A 15,225-nucleotide genomic window follows, 5' to 3' on the forward strand; every position below is an offset into this window, starting at 1 on the left:
CCGGCGACCTCAGGCGGGCGGGGAAGACCGAGTCTTCCCGGAGCCGCTTCGTCCGCCCGGCGCCGGAGTCCCACGGCCGGTTTGCGGAAGCGGGTCGTCTGAAGGGGCCCGGCGGGTGGCTCCCGGGTCTCCGCGGCCTGTGATCCCCAGAGCGGACAACCGCAGCTGGGGCTCCGTGCGCAACTCGGAGTAAAGGCCGGAACCTACGCTCGGCGGCCGCGTCCCGGCCCCTAGCGCCCTCCGCGAAGTGCCTGGCAGGCTCGGCAGTCTGAGTGTCGCGTTACAGAGTCCCCTGGGCAGTCACCGCTGAAGGGCGGGGGACGCGGGAAAGGCATTTTGGGGACACAGGAGAGCTGCGAGGGCGAAGCACGGGCGAGCTGTCGTTAGGGCCCAGGAAAGGCCCGTTGCGGGGCGCACAGGCGGGCAGGGGAACTCGCGCCCCGCGCCGCGCGCCCGGCCTCCTGACGCCAGGGCCGGCTTCTGAGCACAGCCACCGCGGCGGCCGGGGGCGGCCACTGCTCCCCGCGAGCCCGCTTCCGCGCCCCAGAAGCCCCCAGAGCCCGCGTCCGAGCTCCAGGCCTTGGAGGAGCCAGGCGGGCAGCTGACAGCCCCGGAGCCGCTCCCGGGTTCCGCGCGCGGTGGCAGCCAGGCCGTGCCTCCCCGTTCCCCTCCCGCGCCGCGCTGCCCCTCCGGGACCCACCAGGCCTGGCTGCGCCTCTTTCCTCTCCTCCCCCGGAGCCTTGGAAAGTGCCCTCCAGAGATGTGCTTAGGAAGTGTGTGATGAATAAAGGAGACAATCAGGATAACTATAATATTTATTATGCACTTGCTTTTTTCTCACTGATGTTACTAATTTTAATGGTGTAGCGCGGCGCGTTCCAGTTTTCTAAGTGCTCTCACATCCGTTCAAAAAATCCTCAAAATAAGCCTGTATATTAAAAGCAGGAGCCATTATTTCATATTTCAAGAAGTAAACATGCTCAGAGTAATAATCCACATAGAGCCTTCCAACCAGTCAATTCTGGTACATTTTCACAAATCTATGAGTGTGGTTAATACACGGAGATGTGGTTTGAGGAATTATATAGGACACAGCCAGCAAAATGCCTGGTATACAATAAGTATGCGGTAAATGGTTATTATTATTAAGAATATTGTAATATCTTCAGATATGATCAGGTGAACAACTTTGACATAATCGAAACTGGGACAGCCTGATTCCATAAACACACTAATATGGCACCGTGGATTGTTTGCAGCCTCACCTCTAAAGTATTCTCTCTGACTAACAAAGAAAGGGAAACTAGAACCAGTTAAGCTTATAACACTAATCACAGGCTAAAGGAAATACAGGGGCCAAATGAACCCATTAGATTACACCACCAGGAAGTAATCTGCCAAATCCAGAATGTGGGAAATTCTACAAACCAAATGACCCAATTTCTTTTTTCAAAAATAAATGTTCAGAGGCTGAAGTGGGAGGATTGCTTAAGGCCAGAGTTCAAGGCTGTAGTGAGCTATGATCACAGCTGTGAATAGCCACTGCACTCCAGGCTGGGCAACACAGCTAGACCCCCCATGTCTTTAAAAAAAAGAGGGTGGGGGGACCTTGAGAGACACATTAGCCAAATGCAATTTGTGGACCTTGTTTGGGTCATGATTAAGACAAACAAACTTTTACATAAATAAATGGCATTTTTAAAAACATTGGCGGCCAGGCGCGGTGGTTCTTGCCTGTAATGCCAGCACTTTGGGAGGCCGAGGCGGGCAGATCAGGAGGTCAGGAGATCAAGACCATCCTGGCTAACACGGTGAAACCCCGTCTCTACTAAAAAAAAAAAAAAAAAAAAAAAAATTAGCCGGGTGTAGTGGCAGGTGCCTGTAGTCCCAGCTACTCGGGAGGTTGAGGCAGGAGAATGGTGTGAACCCGGGAGGCAGAGCTTGCAGTGAGCCCAGATCACGCCACTGCACTCCAGCCTGGGCGACAGAGTGAGACTCCATCTCAAAAAAAAAAAAAAAAATTGGGAAACTTAAACATGGACTGAATGTTAGGTGACATTAAATAACTTCAGGTAATTTTATTACGATAATACCATAGTGGCTATGATTTTTAAAGGCCTCAGAGAAACATATTAACATATTTACAGGCAAATTATATTATTTCTGGGATTTGCTTTAATAAAATTTAATAACAAATTCCTGGAGTTTTTTAGAGAACAAAGTGAGAGATAGGAGAAACAATATTGGCAAAGTGTTTAATGTTTAAGCAAGGAGATGGGTACATGGGCATTGTGCTAGGCCTAATTATGCCCCCCAAACATGCCCACATTCTAATCTTCAAACCTGTGAACAAGTTACCTGACATGGCAAAAGGGGCTTTGCAAGTATGCGATGAAGAACCTTGAGATGGGAGATGATCCTGGATTATCCCAGTGAGCCCAGTCTCATTGGGTCCTTCCGAGAACCTTTACCTGCAAATGAGAATTGGAAAGAGACGTAACACTGGAAGGAAGTTCAGAGAGATTCAACCTGACAAGGATGTGGCCGCTGGTGCTGACTCCGGAGATGGAGGAAGGGGCCACAAGCCCAGGAATGCCACAGGTGGCCTCTCAAGGTGGAAAAGGCAAGGAATGAATGATCCTGCAGATGCTCAGGTGTCCTGCCATCACCTGAGTTTTAGCCCAGTGAGCCCCGTGTGGGCTCCTGACCTACAGGACTTGTACGGTAGTAAATTTGGGTTGTTTTAGGTCACCAAAGTGGTAGTAATTTGTTACAGCAGCCATAGAAAACTAATACAAGCATTTGCTATATTTCTCTCTATGTTTTTGTAAGTTTAAGATTTTTTTCTGCTGGGTGCGGTGGCTTACGCCTGTAATCCCAGCACTTTGGGAGGCCAAGGAGGGCAGATCACAATGTCAGGAGTTCGAGATCAGCCTGGCCAATATGGTGAAACCACGGCTCTACTAAAAATACAGAAATTAGCCAGGAGCGGTGGCATGCGTCTGTATTCCCGGCTACTCGGGAGGCTGAGGCAGGAGAATCACTTGAACCCAGGAGGTGGAGGTTGCAGTGAGCCGAGATCGTGCCACTGCACTCCAGCCTGGGTGACGGAGTGAGATTCTGTCTAAAAAAAAAAAAAATTGTAATAAAATATTTATTAAGTCCATAAAACATAAACCTAAGAAATACATTTTTAAGGTAATTCATTTACACCTGAAGTGTAATCTGACCAACCATAGAATTATACCATGCATTTTAATTTCCAAAAGAATTATATGTCATAAATCCCTTTTTAAAAAGCATTGTTGAGTATGGTTAGTAAAATAATGTTAATTTTCAAAGTCACAGATATAATAAAGCATCACGGATATAATAAAGCATGGCATGACCTATTCCTGACTTTATTTATTTATTTATTTTTGAGACAGAGTCTTACTTTGTCACCCAGACTAGAGTGCAGTGGCTCATCTTGGCTCACTGCAACCTCTGCTTCCCGGGTTCAAGCCATGCTCCTGCCTCAGCTTCCTGAGTGGCCGGGATTACAGGCACCCGCCACCGCACCCAGCTAATTTTTGCATTTTTAATAGAGACAGGGTTTTGCCATGTTGGCCAGGCTGGTCTCGAACTCCTAACCTCAAGTGATCCGCCCACCTCGGCCTCCCAAAGTGCTGGGATTACAGGTCTGAGCCACCGCGCCTGGCCCCATTCCTAACTTTAGAATTAGTTTATCTATACCGATTGTTATCAAAATCTGCATATTGACATGACTTTTAAGATGCTGACATTTATAAAGGTAATTTTCCTTCTAGCATATATTAATTTCAGGAAACAGATAACACAATTAATAAAATATATAAAACAGAATCGTTAAAGAAAATAATCTTCCCAAATATGTAAAAGTAGAATAGTTTAAAAAACAGTACCGAATATTTTAATGTAATTTCTAATTTTCAATTAATGAATATTAGGCATTTTCTATTATATGGATAAATTACCCACATTTTGTCAAATTTGCTAAAACAGTCCGGGCGCGGTGGTGCACACCTGTAATCCTAGCACTTTGGGAGGCCAAGGCGGGCAGATCACTGGAGGTCAGGAGTTTGAGGCCAGCCTGGCCAACATGGTGAAACCCCATCTCTACAAAGAATACAAAAAAATTAGCCAGGCGTAGTGGTGGGCGCCTGTAATCCTAGCTGCTCCGGAGCCAGAGGAAGAGGCAGGAGAATCACTTGAACTCTGGAGGCAGAGGTTGCAGTGAGCTGATATCGCGCCATTGCACTCCAGCCTGGGCAACAAGAGTGAAATTCCGTCTCAAAAAAAAAAATTGCTAAAACAGATAACATTTATTAAAGTCCATAGTTTTAACTAATTTTATTAGTTGACTTTTAATGCCATTAACCAATTTTTTTTTTTTTGAGACCAAATCTGGTTCTGTCTCCCAGGCTGGAATGCAGTGGCATGATCTCAGCTCACTGCAACCTCCACCTCCTGGGTTTAAGGGATTCTCATGCCTCAGCATCCGGGGTAGCTGGGATTACAAGTGTGTGTCACCATACCTGGCTTTTTTTTTTTTTTTTTTTTTTAGAGACAGGGTTTACCCATGTTGGCAAGGCTGTTCACAAACTCCTGACCTCAAGTGATCTGTCTGCCTCAGCCTCGTAAAGTGCTAGGATTACAGGCTTGAGCCACCACACCCGGCCTACTTGGGGTATTTGGTTTTGTTTCTTGAGACAAGGTTTCATTGTGTTCCCGGGGTGGCCTCAAACTCCGAGGTTTAAGTGATCCTCCCATCTTAGCCTCCTAAGTAACTGGGACCAGAGGTGTTCCCCAATGTGCCGGGCTAACTGGTTTTAATTCTACAGAGCACTCTTTAAATCACTGTTTCCTCTCTAAACATCTTCAGTTTCATATTGTACTTCACTGTCTTGTAAACTACTTTTCTGTGGGAGCAGCTACAGTGAATAACATTGTGGTATACATAGTGGTATACATGGTTGTGATATACATTGTTGTGTTGTGGTAACATTGTGGTATCTTTGCCGCCTTGTATTTAAAAAATCCTGGCTTACACTAAGGGAGCCTTGGAAACTCCCAATACTTTGGGAGGCCGAGGTAGATGGGTCACCTAAGGTCAGGAGCTCAAAACCCAACATGGCAAAACACCATCACTGCTTAAAAAAAGTAATAAAAAATTAGCCCAGTGTAATGACACACACCTGTAGTCTCAGCTCTCCTGGAAGCTGAGGCAGGAGAATCGCTTGAACCCAGGAGGTGGAGGTTACAGTGAGCCGAGATAGCGCCACTGCACTCCAGCCTGAGCAACAGAGGAAGACTCTGTCGTAAGAAAACAAAAAACAGGTGGGGCCTGGCTCCTCACCCACCCGTCAGCTCCAGGACTGCCCCTTCCTGGGCCAACTGGCCAAACAACTGGGAAGAGCCCCCAACTCCAACAGGATTATTTTCCCAGCAGGAGTTACAGATGCAGCCACAGATTGATGATCTGCCTTAACATGATCGGAGATGCTTTGTAATCTACTGTCCAGCTGAAAGCGCTCATGTTATGAGGAAGAAACTACAAATGATGTTCAAATCTATTTTAAACTATTTTGGGCCATTTTTATGTACCTTTGGGTTCAGGCATTATTTGGGGGTTTTTGTTTCCAAAGTAACTAAATAAAGTCATATTGCTTATTAAAAAGAAAACAAAAAACAACAAGAAAACTATATTCATTATCTTGCAGCTCCCACTGGTCAGGAGTCTGGGGCTTGGTTTAGCGGGTCCAGCTGCAATCCAGCTGCTCACCAGGATGTGGCATTGGCATCTGCATCTTCTGAGTCGTCTTCCACCTCTCTGGCTTTGGGATGAATTCAGTTCCTTGTGGTCATAGGTTTAGGCCCTCAGCTCCCAGAGCCACCTACCAATCTCAGCCCAGTGACCCTCTCCCAGCACAGGCGGTTGCTTCTTTAAGGCCAACAGGAGAAAGTGTCTGCTGCTGCCTCATCTTTCTCCAACTTCCATCCCTGACATCTGGACCCTGTTAACAGATGCAGGTGATTAGATCAGACTCACCCAAGATCATCTCTCTTTTGAATGGCTTAATACCAACTCATTAGGGGCCTTCATTACATCTGTGATATCCCTTCACTTTTTGCCAGCTTAGGCTATAGAGTGAGACACTGTGTCAAAAAAAAAAGAATTCTTTTATTTATAAAATTGTTTATTAGAAGTTTCCTTTTGATAGTGAGCTCTCCTTCTGCTTTTATTTTATTTTTTGAGACTGAGTCTCCCTCCGTCACCCAGGCTGGGGTGCAGTAGCCCAATCTCAGCTCACTGCAACGTCTGCCTCCTGGGTTCAAGCAATTCTCCTGCCTCAGTCTCCCGAGTACCTGGGACTACAGGCATGTGCCACCATGCCTGGCAAATTTTTGTATTTTTTAGTAGAGACGGGGTTTTGCCATGTTGGCCAGACTGGCCCACGAATTCCTGACCTCAGGTGATCCTCCCACCTCGGCCTCCCAAAGTACTGGGATTACAGGCATGAGCCACCATGCCCAGCTGCAATATTTTTCTTAAGATAAATGTTTTCTGGCCAGGCCCTGTGGCTCACGCCTGTAATCCCAACACTTTGGGAGGCTGAGGCAGGTGGATCACTTGAGGTCAGCAGTTCTAGACCACACTGGCCAACATGGTGAAACCCCATCTCTACTAAAAATATTAGCTGGGCGTGGTGGCACATGCCTGTAATCCCAGCTACTCGGGAGGCTGATGGAGGAGAATCACGTGAACCTGGGAGGCGGAGGTTGCAGTGAGCCGAGATCGCGCCATTGCACTCTAGCATGGGCGACAGAGCAAGACTCCATCTCAAAAAAAAAAAAAAAAAAAAAAGATAAATGTTTTCTGTATTTTCTGTATCCTGTTTGTTTGTTTGTTTGTTTTGAGACAGAGTCTTGCTCTGTCACCCAGGCTGGAGTGCAGTGGCGCAATCTCAGCTCACTGCAACCTCTGCCTCCCAGGTTCAAGTGATTATCCTGCCTCAGCCTCCCAAGTAACTGGTACTACAGTCGTGCACCACCATGCTAATTTCTGTATTTTTAGGAGACATGGGGTTTCACCATGTTGGCCAGGCTGGTCTTGAACCCCTGACCTCAGGTGATCCACCCACCTCGGCCTCCAAAAGTACTGGGATTACAGGCGTGAGCCACCAAGCCTGGCCTTCTGACCCTGTTTTAGATTATGATGCCTGAGGTTTAAAGTATAAACTACTCCAGGCTGGGCGTGGTGGCTTACACCTGTAATCCCAGCACTTTGGGAGGCCAAGGCGGGTGAATCATGAGGTCAGGAGTTTGAGACCAGCCTGGCCAACATGGTGAAACCCCCATCTCTATTAAAAATACAAAAAATTAGTTGGGCATGTTGGCGGGAGCCTATAATCCCAGCTACTCGGGAGGCTGAGGCAAGAGAATCGCTTGAACTCGGGAGGCAGAGGTTGCAGTGAGCCGAGATCACACCACTGCACTCCAACCCGAGTGATAGTGTGAGACTCCATCTCAAAAAAAAAAAAAAAAAAAGTATTACCTATTCCATCTATTTTCTTTCCCTTTGAGTAGTGCTTGCACTGTGATCTTACAGATCACAGAAGGCTGGCCACAGTGACTCACACCTGTAATCCCAGCACTTTGGGAGGCTGAGGTGGGAGGATCCTTTAAGCCCAGGAGTTCAAGACCAGCCTGGAAAACATGGAAAAAAACCTGTCTCTACAAAAAATACAAAAAAAAAAAAAAAAATTAGCCGGGGTTTGTGGCATGCTCCTGTAGTCCAGCTACCTGAGAGGCTGAGGTGGGAGGATTGCTTGAGCCCAGGAGGTCAAGGCTTCAGTGAGCTGAGATCTTGCCACTGCACTACAGCCTGGGCAACAGAGTGAGACCCTGTCTCAAATAAATAAATAAATTACAGAGAACTATGGGGGATGGGATGGTTATCACATGATACATTATAGTCAATCTGCACTGAGATGTTAAATGATTGATACATTTTATATCATTATAATTTACAAATTATCTTCCTACCTCCTGTGTCTAATACAATCCCAGACAGATTTGAAGCTCTTTGAGGGAAGGGCCAAGCTTCATACTTATTTATAACCACGATAGCATTTAGTAGAATCCAACACATCACTGATTCCCAATCAAAATGTATGGAATGAGTGGAAAACAGTAAGATGTGCTACGTGGTTGTCAGAGATTCTGGTTTAGGGAGCCTTGATTTAGTTACTTTTCAGGGTAATTCCTTTTAAGCAGCTTGGTTATTAGAACTTCCTTGGGAGAGTTACTGTGTTTATTTTGCGCTCATGTGCTTAGTTCAAGACAGAGTCCATAGTTCAAATCATTGAAAATGACCCATTAAAATTTTCCTTTTTTTTTTCTAATAAACATGGAAGAAGAGCCATTTATCTATTAGGTGCTATGGATCGAGCAACTGAATGGCAAAAGTAAAAATCCCTAAACAAGGTTTAGAACAAAACTAGTTGACAAGGTATCCCCACAAACCCCAAATGTAAGAGGCGTGAGGAGGAACCACAGACAGCTGCAAGACCTGAGTGAAGTCAGCAAATGCACAGATAAAAACAAGGGCATGACAAAGCATGTGGTGGACATGAAGAGAGGAGAATCCAAAAATAGCATCAGGTTCCCCCAGGAAAGTGTGGCAAGAACAGCGGCTGAAAACAGGAAGGATTTCGCCCCATGCAGTAGTGAGTGAGTGCAAGGGGCCCATGGTGAGACCTGAAAGCCTAGAGCAATCCTTCCTTCCGGGATTAAGACCCCTCACAGAGGGGAGACTCTTAAGATGGAATGAGAATTTTGCATGATGTAGACTAGAGAAATGTAAGAAAGAGAAAGTGCAGAAAAAGGTGAGAAAAGGGAAATTTCCTAAGGCAAGCTTCCCTATTTTAGCACACTAATTAAAACAACAGAAAAGTTTGTGAGGTGCTATGGTCTGATGTTTGTGTTCACTCCTCCCGATTCACGTGTGGATATCTCATCACCAATGTGATGGTATTAGGAAGAAGGGCTTTTGGGAGGTGATTATGTGATGGTGGTGGAGCCCTTACAAATGGGATTAGTGCCCTTATGAAAGAGGCCCCAGAGAGCTCCCTAACCTTTCTACCACCGCCACCTGAGGACACAGCAGGACGGCACTGTGTGGACCAGGAAGCAGGACCTCACGAGACACTGAATCTACCAATGTCTGTATTTGTCAAGTCCAGTCTTGATCTTGGACTCCCCAGCCTCCAGAACTGTGAAAAATATATTTCTGTGGTGTATAAGCCACCCGGTTTATGGCATTTTGTTAAAGGAGCCCAAAAGAACTAAGACACTAGGTGAAGTTGCAAAAGCTCTCCGGAACTCTGCCTCCTTCTAGGTGTTAAGGAGAAGTAACCTGCCTAAGGAGGAGCACTTGAGAAGAAATGACATCAAAGATGTACAAAGTTATCATCAGAAAAACAATGAAGGCCAGGTGCGGTGGCTCACGCCTGTAATCCCAGCAATCTCATCTCTACAAAAAATAAAAAATCAAAAATCAGCCAGGTATGGTGGCATGTGCCTGTAGTTCCAGCTACTCAGGAGGCTGAGGTGGGAGGATACTTTGAGCCTGGGAGGTTGAGGGTGCTATGAGCTATGATTGCGCCACTGCACTTCCAGCCTGGGCAACAGAGCGAGACCGAAAGAAAGAGAAAGAGAGAAAGAGAGAGAGAAAGAGAGAGAGAGAGAGGAAGGGAGGAAGGGAAGAGGGGAGGAAGGGAGGAAGAAGACATTTGCACACACAATGAAAGCATACCACAGAGACATGACCACGAAACAGATAAAAGCTGTAGCCTACAGTTTCAGAACAAGCTCAAGACCTGAAGGGAGTAAATAGAACATATGAAGTAATAACATAAATCTAAGTTAGGAAAACTTAGAAATTAAGTAACACTTCAGAAAATAATTAAAAATAAAAGGAAAAAAGTAGGCCGGGCACGGTGGCTCACGCCTGTAATCCCAGCACTTTGGGAGGCTGAGGCGGGTGGATCACGAGGTCAGGAGATCGAGCCCATCCTGGCTAACACGGTGAAAACCCGCCTCTACTAAAATTACAAAAAATTAGTAGGGCGCAGTGGTGGGCGCCTGTAGTCCCAGCTACTCTGGAGGCTGAGGCAGGAGAATCGCGTGAACCCAGGAGGCGGAGCTTGCAGTGAGCCGAGATTACGCCACTGCACTCCAGCCTGGGTGACAGAGCAAGACTCCCTCTCAAAAAAATAAATAAATAAAAAATAAAAAAAATAAAAGGAAAAAAGTAAGAAATATAAACGAAATAGCAGTACCTACTTCACAATATTGCTGTAAGAATTAAACACTTTACTACATATAAACTGTTGGACGTGTACCTGCCACATAGTTAGTGCTCAGTAAGGATTACCTGTTATTCTGATTATGTTGTCCAACCACAGACAGGACCATAGGCTGGGTGGGTGTCCTGTGTGCCAACAGTGGCGGGGGGCCTGTCTTGTCTGCGTGTGTCTCCTCCATCCGCAGGTGGCGTGTGACCTCCTGCAGCAGTAGGGTTTGGGGAGCGGGTGAGCTATGGCAGTGAAGACTTGAGATGACCACTCCACCACTCTTTGTCACAGCATACTAACTACTGTGGCCCTGGCCTCTCCACCCCACCAGTCACTTGACTTTTAGCAAATGTCAAGCACAAATGTCCCCCAACACCTAGACTCAACACACACCCCACAGTGGGCACATCCTATATATACATATATGACTTACATGTGCTAAATGTTACACAAAACAATAAAAATTCCACACATTTTGCCCAACTCACAATGTAGAAACACAATCCCTACTTCATTATTTTTACTTAAATTTGACATTTGTATGACTATCTTAGAAGTCCTGTGAATTTTCTTTTTTCTTTCTCTCCTTTTTTTTTTTTTTTTTTTTTGGCAGAGTTGGGATCTTGCTATGTTGTCCAGGCTGGTCTCAAACTCCTGGCATCAAGCAATCCTCCTGCCTCAGCCTCCCAAATTCCTAGGATTGCAGTTATGAGCCATTGCACCTAGCCCAAGTCCTGTGAATTTTAATGCATGTTCTTTTTTTTTTTTCTGCCAGCAGCAGAAAAAGAATGACTTGTGTTTCTTTTTCTCACCAGTGTTTCTGTGACTCTATATCAATATCCTAGCCAGGGACCTGCTGCCAGGACTTCTCCCCGGGCTCTAGGCAAGAGCAGAGGAATGATTCAGTTCTCACCCAGCCAGAAGAGTAGCATTTCCATGTACTATAGAGGGAAGGCGTGTAGTACAGAAAGAGAGAAGATAGAACTACTCATCACACCAGGGTGTGCCCTACAGGCTTGAGATGGACAGAATCTAAGAAGGGCTGACCTGTTTCAGGATTTTTGTTTGTCTGTTTTTTGAGATGGAGTCTCACTCTGTCTCCCAGGCTGGAGTGCAATGGCGCAATCTTGTCTCACCGCAACCTCCGCCTCCCAGGTTCAAGCGATTCTCCTGCCTCAGCCAACTGAGTAGCTGGGATTGCAGGCATGTGCCACCATGCCCAGTCAATTTTTGTATTTTTAGTAGAGATGGGGTTTCATCATGTTGGCCAGGCTGGTCTCGAACTCCCGACATCAGGTGATCCACCTGCCTCAGCCTCCCAAAGTGCTAGGATTACAGGTGTGAGCCACCGCAGCCGGCCTGTTTCAGGATTTAAGGTCAACTAGGAAATACTTTAACTTCCCAAATTAAAAAACAAAAAAGAAGCTGCTCTTCCTCCCAGCTGCCACAGAACAGGCCACCACACTGTAATATGTCAATCCTGCCAAGATATACTATCTTTTTACAAATTGTCAGCCTCAGTTCTGGCAGGTAGAGAGTCCCCTCTTCGAATCCTGCCTGTGCCATGTCTCATCTGAGGGCTAGTCTGCCTAGCTGCCTGCAGATTTGCACCACCCCATCTGAGATGATCCGCCCTGCTCTGAGATGAATCGTGAGATCACAAAGACAGTGATGCTGTAAGTAAGCCAGGCACTGTGCTTACTCCTGTGTGAGCAGCGTGTACATCCTATGCGGGGGTCCCTGGCTTCCAGTTCCTTTGTCACTCACGGAAGATCATACCATTAATACATTCTGGAAATGACAAAAAGAATAAATTTCTAAATAAGAAAACATAAGTGCCCACAATTCACTAAGGATTTTGCAGATTTCCCAATTATTATACATCCACACCACCAGAAATACGCCCATCAAATAATAAAACCCAAAATTATATTCCTCAGTATGCTGGGTCAATCACTGCCATCCTAAGAATTCCATACATCCAGACCAGCCTGGGCAACAAAGTGAGACCCCATCTCTACAAAAAAAAATTGTTTTAATTAGCCAGGTGTGGTGGAGTGCTCCTGTAACCCTAGCTACTTGAGAGGCTGAGGTGGGGGGGTTGCTTGAGCCCCGGAGGGTGAGGCTACAGTGAGCTGAGATGCTGAGATTGCATTACTGCACTACAGCTGGGGCGACAGAGTGAGACCCTGTCTCAAAAAAAAAAAGAAAAAGAAAGAAAATAAATGTTAGTGGACAACTTAGAATGGGTGGGGCAGTACATAGTTTTTCAGCATTCCTTTAGTGTTATATAAAAGAAAAATTTGAAAATTACTGAGCTAGATGACAGGAGACATTCTCCAAACCCAAAATGAGAAAGTTGAGCGCCCTTGATCTTTTAATGTAGACGGGTTCTAATTTCTTCTTTTTTTTGTTTTTCTTGAGACAGAGTCTCGCTCTGTCACCCAGGCTGGAGTGCAGTGGTGCGATCTCGGCTCACTGCAAGCTCCGCCTCCCAGGTTCACGCCGTTCTCCTGCCTCAGCCTCCTGAGTAGCTGGGACTATAGGCGCCGCCATCACGCCCAGCTAATTTTTGTATTTTTAGTAGAGACGGGGTTTCACTGTGTTAGCCAAGATGGTCTTGATTTCCTGACCTCGTGATCCACCCTCCTCAGCCTCCCAAAGTGCTGGGATTACAGGCATGAGCCACCGCGCCTGGCCGACAGGTTCTAATTTTATTCATACAAATTCAGCTTGTATAAGCTATACAATTATTAGGGAACAACATATAAGGGAGTATTTTATTCTCAATCTTAGTTGAATCAGATTTGGGAAGATATTTACACAGACCAAGTAAAAACCATTACACACTATGCAAACTACAAAACACATGTCACAAAATTAGCAGGGCGTGGTGGCACATGCCCTGTAATTCCAGCTACTCGGGAGGCTGAGGCAGGAGAATCGCTTGAACCTGGGAGGTGAAGGTTGCAGTGAGCCGAGATCACGCCACTCCACTCCAACCTGGGCAACAGAATGAGACTCCATCTCAAAAAAAAAAAGAAAAGAAAAAGAAAAAAAACCCCACACATATCATGTAACTTCACTGGAAGAAAAGTTACATTCTCAGCTCTGTCTTTTTCACAATGAATCAGCAGGCAGTTATTAAGCATTTTCTATGTGCTAACATTGTGTTAGCTTGTACTGGGGAATACAAAATACAATCATTTCTCATGGTAGTTTTGTTCTGAAAGTTGCTGCAAACACTGAATTAGCAAATACTAAAACCTTTGACCCTGGAGGAATTATAGGGTTAGGTTCCTGCAAGCCTCTGACCATGACGTTTTCATCAACCAATCAATGCATAACCTTGGGTTTCTGTTTTGTTTTGAGACGGAGTCTTGCTCTGTTACCCAGGCTGGAGTGTAGTGGTGCGATCTTGGCTCACTGCAACCTCCACCTCCCGGGTTCAAGTGATTCTCCTGCCTCAGCCTCCCAAGTAGCTGGGACTACAGGCGCCCACCACCATGCCCGGCTAATTTTTGTATTTTTAGTAGAGACAGAGTCTCACCATGTTGGCCAGGCTGGTCGCAAACTCCTGACCCCAGGTGATCTGCCCGCCTCAGCCTCCCAAAGTACTGGGATTACAGGTGTGAGCCACCACGCCCAGCCCATAACCTTGTTTTATTTGTGTTTCTGTTTAAAGACATCTTTTTTTTTTTTTTTTTTTTTTTTTTGAGGTGGAGTCTCGCTCTGTCTCTCAGGCTGGAGTGCAGTGGTGCGATCTCGGCTCACTGCAAGCTCCGCCTCCCGGGTTCCCGCCACTCTCCTGCCTCAGCCTCCCGAGTAGCTGGGACTAAAGGTGCCTGCCACCACGCCTGGCTAGTTTTTTGTATTTTTAGTAGAGATGGGGTTTCACCGTGTTAGCCAGGATGGTCTCGATCTCCTGACCTCGTGATCCGCTCGCCTTGGCCTCCCAGAGTGCTGGGATTACAGGCGTAAGCCACTGCTCCCGGCCTAAAGACATCTTATATTTACATTAATAACAGCCAACAGCCCTAAAACTCATGCCTAAACCAAGCTTATCTAACACACATATTTTCTCTGTAAGGCACATCACAGCCTTCTTGCTCTTAGGAACACTAGCCAGCACGAAGACACTGTGCTTGGGGCCTTTTCAACAGCAAAATCAACAGGAAGCACAAAAATGTGGCAAAATGACACTAACTAGACCATGCTAAGGAAGCTTGTTCACAGCGTTAGCCGAAACAAGAAGGCCGAGCATCGCCTTGTTCCACCTCAGCTGGGAACGTGCATTTGGGCAACTCAAATCTTGTGTCACTCATGCATGCCTGTGAATTACCTCAAAAGCACTGTGAGTATTGACTTTGGGGTTACATGTGAATTTTGGCGAGTAGGCAGATTTGTCAAGTCCAAATTTATGAATCATGAGAGTCAACTGTAAATGCATGCTTAAGAAGCATTACTCTAGCAGGAAAGCAAGACACAAAATACAGTCATGCATCAAATAACGATTTGGTCAATGATGGATTGCACATACAAACAAGCAGTCCCATAAGATTATAATGGAAATGAAAAATCCCTATTGTCTAGTGATGTCAGTGCCATAGTAAAGTTGTATAGCAACGCATTGCTCATGTGTTTGTGGCGGTGCTGGTATAAACACACCTGCTTCACGGCCAGTCATGTAAAAGTCCAGTACATGCAATTATGTGCGGTACATCATACTTGATAATGACAGCGAATGACTTTCGCTGGTTTATGTATTTACCATGCTATTTTCCTTATCATTACATTAGAGTATATACTCATTCTGCTTATAAACAAAAGTGAACAGCCTCAGACA

General features: G+C 45.9%; 1 long non-coding RNA gene across 5 annotated transcripts in view, besides 1 other annotated feature; it reads right to left on the bottom strand.

Moving 5' to 3' along the window:
• Nucleotides 319–718: a silencer, noted in NCBI's record as "silent region_9301". NCBI's record gives its function as "represses an Ori minimal core promoter by ATAC-STARR-seq in GM12878 lymphoblastoid cells {active_cell/tissue: GM12878}" and the evidence as "EXISTENCE:reporter gene assay evidence [ECO:0000049][PMID:35858748]".
• The window catches only part of LOC101927511 (uncharacterized), a 37,635-nt gene continuing 24,567 nt past the window's right edge, over nt 2,158–15,225 (bottom strand). For 2 of the 5 annotated variants that reach the window (XR_007066296.1, XR_007066293.1), the window contains exons 3-4: nt 5,804–6,035; nt 2,158–2,471 (exon numbers count right to left, since the gene is read on the bottom strand). This is a non-coding gene — a long non-coding RNA (uncharacterized LOC101927511). Of the gene's footprint in view, nt 2,472–5,341; nt 6,036–10,459; nt 10,591–15,225 lie in introns of those variants that run through there. The other 3 variants (XR_243835.5, XR_007066294.1, XR_001753359.2) reach the window with 3 other exon arrangements.

The sequence above is a fragment of the Homo sapiens genome, chromosome 18, assembly GCF_000001405.40.
Source record: "Homo sapiens chromosome 18, GRCh38.p14 Primary Assembly".
Classification (NCBI taxonomy): Eukaryota; Metazoa; Chordata; class Mammalia; order Primates; family Hominidae; genus Homo; species Homo sapiens.